At 38.8% G+C, this 6,797-nt stretch overlaps 1 annotated feature.

Moving 5' to 3' along the window:
* Window positions 4,839-6,270: an enhancer, noted in NCBI's record as "VISTA enhancer hs428". NCBI's record gives its function as "enhancer in: neural tube[6/6] | hindbrain (rhombencephalon)[6/6]" and the evidence as "EXISTENCE:transgenic organism evidence [ECO:0001131][PMID:17130149]".

Genomic DNA, 6,797 nt, shown 5'->3' with positions numbered 1-6,797 from the left:
GTATTGCATAAGCAAGCCTGTGGAAGTGGCCCAATTATGTTAGAAGATAGGAGGCAGAGTGCAAGGGAGAGATGTAGTCTGAACGGGCAGACAAAAAATATCTGGCTATATGTATAATAACTGTGTGCATATATGTGTGTATATATATGTGCATACATGTGCACATGTGTGTATTACACAAATATGTGTACAGGTATACAATTGTGGTATGTATAGTTACATTTAAAAATGAAATCCCACCTTATTGGCTTATAATCTGTTTAATTCACTGAATAACAGACACATTATAAACTCTTTTCTGTGCCAGGAATCTTTTAATACAATATATTTTCATAGAATTATATGGTTCTACATTCTATGGCACATGTATCAACATTCATTTAAGTTACTTCAAAATTTTCAGTATTATATAAAAACCTACAACATCCTTGTAGATCATTTTTTAATGAGCAACAATATTTCCTTAAAATAAATTTAAAGAAGTATTTGCAGGATCAAAGGGGTACCCATTTCAAGTTCTCATCACCAGAATGCTCTCCAGGAAGACTGCCTGTGTACATTACCGTAATCTGCATATTTGTGCTTGCTTACTTCACATCCTCACGAAGTTACACTATAAACTCTCCTGAAGGAGCTATATGTCTACTTCCCTACCAGTTCTCCCCCTGAATTTTTGTAATTGGAAACTCTTCTCTTGGCAGTGAACAATGACTTCCCAATTTTGAATTCTAATGGCTATTTATCATTCTTATCATTAACCTTACAGTGTTTGATATTATTGACCTTGAGCTCCTATTTGAAAAATCTCTCTTTGCTTTGGTCCTTTGATATATTTCAATGCTGATTTGAATTCTCTCTTGTTTTTTCCATGTCTTCCTTTTGGTGCATCCTTCTCCTGCTTTCTGTTAGATATGGGCATCCCATCCGACACAGAGTTCTGCCACTATTCATGCACTATGGCGGGGTCCAGCAACCCTTCCATGCCTCTCATCTTTGTCTCTTCTTTTCCTCTTCCAATGTTCCCACTGTCATTTCAGGCCTTGTTATTTTCACCTGGGCCATCAATAGCCTCCTAACTGGTCCCCTGCCTCTAGTTCTAGCTCTATTTTCCTAAAATCTATTTTTGCCTATGGTGCTCTCTTGAACTGCAGCATCCACTGTCTTCCATTCCTATCATCTATCAAATGAAATATGAGCTGGTATTTGGCAGCCCTCTTCCTCTACACCTAAATATACAGCCTATGTTCTAGTCTAGCTACAAAGCTTTGCCTTGCTTTTCCTTCCGCCTATATATTTTTTCCTTATCTCTGCTTTTCAAATTCCACCCTCTCATTAAGACCTAACTCAAAGGCACCTGCTGTAGGAATCTTTCTCTAGTTACACCCACTGAAAATGACCTCTGTCTTCTAGGGTCTATAATCCAGACATCTATCTGATATTATAACCTCCGTGAGAGGCTTTAACCATTACTAGATTATAAAATGATTGAAAACAGATTCTGGTGTTGTTCCTTTTTCACCAAACACATAGAGTTTTGTTGCTGGCAGGTGATTAATAAATATTAATTAAGTGAACAAGACAGCCCTGGAGCAATTCTACTGAAACTTTGGGTTTAAGAACAGTTAGGGAAAGCTCAGAAATAGTCTACTGGTTATAGCTCATCTCTAGTTTCAGGTCTTACAAAATATTCTACTTAAAGATGCTATGACAATTTAAATTTCATGTATGAAGCTAAGCAATAATTATGTCCAATATGGCCTTATTGGCTGCCCCAGAATTCTAAAAACTGCAAAAGAATTTGTGTCTCATTTTACAAGGTCTAACAATTTACTCACATTTCTACCACTGAACAATTCAAAGCTCATCTTTGATGGCACATGGCAACATTTGCCACCCACAAACCTAGGATAGCCAGTTAATGTCTCAGTCTTCATTGCCACATTTGGTCTTGCCCAGAGGGGACAAATTTTATTCTTCCTCTTCACACAATCATGTTTCATAGGGCAAGTTAAAAAACAATGTGAAGCATTTGAAAGTTATAAGACCAGCAACAGGAAAGCGAGGAAAACCTGCTGCCTGTCATGAAAAACATGAAGCCATTTTGCCAAGTTAACAAAGAACGAAGAGGTGCAATGTTGCAATGGGGAAGGCAAATGTATGATTTCTTTTCTGCTTAACTCTGTGCAAGCTTTTCCCTTAGCTCTGTGCATGTCTTTCCTTTCTTATATGACTTCAGGCTAGTCATTTCACTTATTCATACATGGCTTGCAGAGAGTACCACCTCCCAACCTCCTACTCCTACCTCCCAGGCTACAGGCATGCCAGTTGCTAATGCTCCGAGATCTCCCCAGCCTGGCCCAGACTCCCACACGATGAGATGTCCTCTGTGCAATTTGTACAGCACCTTTCTCAAGCATGGAGACATTGCACGACCCAGCAGTGAACAATGAGGCAGCAGGAGGCAGCACCAACGGGCGACATCTAACACGTTCAGGAAAAACAAAATTAAGCAGCGAAGCTCTTTAGAGCAACAGAGGCTTTTAAAGAGAGTTCTCTCAGGTAATGTAAGCGGCTGCTTTCTCACCGCTCTCACAAGGGCATGCCATGGGGCCAAACGAGCAATCCCTCCAGCCCCAGGAGAAAGAGCTGAGCTGCAATGAGGACCAAATCCATTTATTTTTATGTCTCAATGAAAATACTGGATAGTTTGTAAATCACACATGCTCTGATCGCATTCCTTTTAAGAATACACAGCAGATTTATTCACATAGGGGAAGCAATTGATCAGCCTCCCTGCACAGAGATTCTTAGATGAATGTGGCTGTTCGGTTTCTTACTAAATTAGGAGCTGCAGAGCAAGTGTGACCAGAGATGGGGTGCTGAGAAGGCACAGGTATTATGTGGAAAATTTGGCGTGCGTACCATAAGGACTATGCAGTTGAGAAACAACGTTCATGTCTGGTCAGTTTTAATTTCTGAACATGGCTTACAATCTCCAGTTCAACCACATGTTGTCCTCCAATTAAACCATACCATGTAAGGCCCTGATGGGACGAATACAGAGAAATCACATTTTCCACACTGCTGTCAGGAGCAGAACAGAATGGTAATTTTGCATTTGGTTTTGTTTGTCAGCCTGCATTTTAATGTATTTTCTAATATGACCACCTGATCCAGAACCAAACCCACATTGTTCTCTCTGATAAGACTGGGGAATAAATTCCTCCAAGGCATCTTTGCAAAGGGACTTATCTCTTTAAGTTTGCTGAGTTTCTGAGTGGGTGGAATAGGTTATGCTTTGCATTTCAAGAAACAGAATGAAATGCCACCAACAACACAGAATTTCAATACTGGCATTGCCGGAGCTCAGAGCGTGCTCTTTAAAGAAAATGTAAGATTTAACCCACACCTGAGATATGAGTCTTTATGACTGTTAGTTGGATGTTTGAGTCATTATTTTAAAATGGCCATCAACACAGTGCATATTTACTTAGTAGCTTTGTTGTGTTTTAGTTGCTAAATGACTGGGGCTAGGTGGTGTTGGCTTTGTACGTGAGAACAAAAAGGACTTTAAAAAATTTTTCAGTTTCTAATCTACTGTGACAGCATAATAACTATGTAGTCTAAGGATTAAGAGTACAGGCTCTGTAGAAAGACTTGGTTCAAATCCAGGCTCCGTCTCTCAGGCAGACTACTTCATCCCTCCATGTCTCAATTTTCACGTGCTTGAAATGGTGTGACAACAACCTCATAGGATGAGCGTGAGAATTAAATAAGTCATCTTAAGTGCTTAGCACTGTGCTTTAGAGAAAAAGTGCACATAAATGTCCATTTTTATTATGATTAAGGTTCAGATTAACATGACTGAATGCCTGAGAACTACCAGCAACATGCCAGCTCCTGTTTTTGAAAACCTTACCTCTAGGAAAGTAGCACATTATCTTTTCATCTTATCACTAAAGAAGATTTTACGTTGGAGGTCTTCAGCCCTCTTTTTAGTTTATTTAAGGACTTATCTTCCTTTATTGTCTCCCTTTCTGTGCTCATCTCCCTTTAACCAGAGGTTACTGCCTCCTCTGTAGGATCTATGACCTTGTTACTCATTTAGCCCCTAACACTCATAATTGCGTTACTATTTATTTTTTTATTTGTTTTACATTAATGTCCTTCGTTTCCTTACCTAGAGTGAAGCCTCTTTGAGAAGAGGCAGCAGATCTGCGTAAACCACCCCTCACCTAATGAATTTTTCCTTAGGATATAAAGGAATAGGAACCAGCTCTTAGAAAAATAAGTCTGTTGCCTCAAGTACTTTCCTAAGCTTAAAGAGAATTTGAAAACCTTGCACATCTTCCACACACTCAGGCCTGCTTCAGTATTTGTCAAGGCCTCAGCCACCCTGAAGATATTGTCAAGACAAAAGACTACAGAGGTGAGAGGAGTAGAAGATTAGAAAGACATATTTCAGCACTTCACAATTGCATTTTAAGCCTCTTCACAAAAGTATCTCCCTGCACATGGGAGGATAGGCTAAAAATGTTAATTTAGGAATTCCAGGCAAAGACGCTATGAGCTGATACATAAAATTCTATCTGTCTGTCTATCCATCCATCCAACCTACCTACCTTCCTACCTACTTACTTACCTATGTCTATCAAATAGTCAATGGCTCCTTGTGGTATTCGTGCAAGAATACAGCAAATTTGAAGTCATATTTTTTACACTATTCTGATCATCATAATAAGAAAGCCAGTTGGCCATAAACATAACTAGGGCTCTGATGAATGCAGCCTAAGTTGTTGCTCTCAGCAGTTGACACATAGCCTTCTGCACCTACACACGAACGACTCTGCCGAATCTCGCTTTCATCATTGTGCTGCTTGCACAATCATTGGGAAACAACCGCAGCTTTGTGGGTATGGACCGAATGCCAGCAGTGAGGAGTGCACTTCCAGTGTGTTTGCCACTGTTTTCTTTAATGATTTCTCAAGTGAATATGGTCTCTGTCCTTCTGTTCTTTAGAAGGTATATGTTGAGCTTCAATGATTTCAAAGCTAATGGTAAAATATGCACTATTCAGCACCGCTCTGTCGAGATTTGAATCATTATTTGTCCTCTTTGTCTGGACAGACTGTAGGGTTAAATGGCTGGGGTTTTTGAAACAAAAGATTTATACTCCATTTTCTTTGTACTATCCATCCACGCCTCCTGTAATAGGAGCCGGTTGAAAGCTCTATGTCTGGGTTGTCATTTCTCTTGCACAGTATATATTAGAGTCCAAACGACCTCTACACCATCAAGGTTCTATAAACCTTAAATTTAAGCTACCTTCTCCACCAAAGTACCTAAAACAATAACTTTTTTATGTTGCAACAAACATTACAGTTAATGAGTACAGTGCACATGTAATGATACAGTGAATCAGTGTGAAGCCTCAAATAATGATTTCTGTTGGCACTATAAAAGGAATGTAATTTTTCTTGTTGAAATACCATTTTTCAGTTACTGCATGAGTGATGTGGTAATTATCCCCTACACCTGGGATTTAAATCCAATCCTACAAGCCCATTTTCTGTTTGCAAGCTGTCAGGCTGATGCATAGGCTTTGTTCTTATCTGGCAGTAGGCAAGGAATCGGTAATTCAGAAACAACAAAGCCACTGATGGGTCATCATGTAATCTGCACTGAAAATTGCAATCTGTAATGAGATTGGAAACGCAGATGAGGTGACTAAAATTGATTACCTACTATATCTGAAAATTTCAATTTTATTGCACAAATATGATCAAACTAGTCCATAAGTTTGGGGATTAGTTGAGAAAGAATAAAGATTACTTTTAAATTAGGTGAATGCAGATAAGTTATTTAAATGTAAATTATTTGCTTTATAGCAATATGGTTGGTCTGCAGGGTGATTCATATGGCTACATATTTTAAGCTCCCCGATGGCATCATTTCTGCCTGGGAGTTCCAATTAGAGATGACATATACACTTTCAGCTCTTAAAAGTAGTACAGCAAAGCAGACCATGAATGAAACTCATACCAATCCCCAAGCCATAAAAATTCACCTTTCATATGCTTATTATGGGAAAAAATAACATCTAGAAGTCCTGGGAGCTTTAAAAAACAAGTAGCAGACTGTGCTTGGAGTATTTGAAAACATCTTCCACTCCCCCTCGCCCCCAATGCACACAAACTGTTTTCCAAAAGGTCAGACTTTGTGGATTTAGCTCAGGAGTCAAGATGACAGGTTCAATCCCTTGCTTCCAATAGGAGCCGTGGACTTTATATAATCTTAGAACCACAAGAGATATTGGTGATATTCTGGGCCAACTTTCCAGCTACTATAAAGATCTCTTCATTTCTTGTCAGTAACATGATAATAATTTCTATCTCTGGAAATCTGGCAGATCTCAATGTTCTTGAAACAAATGGTATATCTAATAAAGAATCTTTATTATGACACATTTTCTAAAATGAATTACAATATGCTCACATAATGCCACCAAAATATTTCACCTCTTTGTCTAGCTCCTAGAAAGAATCCATTAGGGGGGAACGAAGAGACTTAAGAGATTAATTTCTACTTGAGAGAACATCCTCTAGGAAAAATACATGTCATCAAAGCTCAACTTTCTTTGTCTTTTTGGGTTGTCAAGGAAAAAAAAATTTCCATCCTGTGGGCTGTAGCTGCTCTTGCAGCTGCAAAAGTTTCTTCTCCTCTTGAAAGTCATTACCAATAGATTATGAAACAAGGGTTCCCCTCTGATTGTTGTATTCATGATCTTATATAAGACA

This window comes from Homo sapiens, chromosome 14 (assembly GCF_000001405.40).
Source record: "Homo sapiens chromosome 14, GRCh38.p14 Primary Assembly".
Classification (NCBI taxonomy): Eukaryota; Metazoa; Chordata; class Mammalia; order Primates; family Hominidae; genus Homo; species Homo sapiens.
This window is presented reverse-complemented; position numbering and strand designations above follow the sequence as displayed.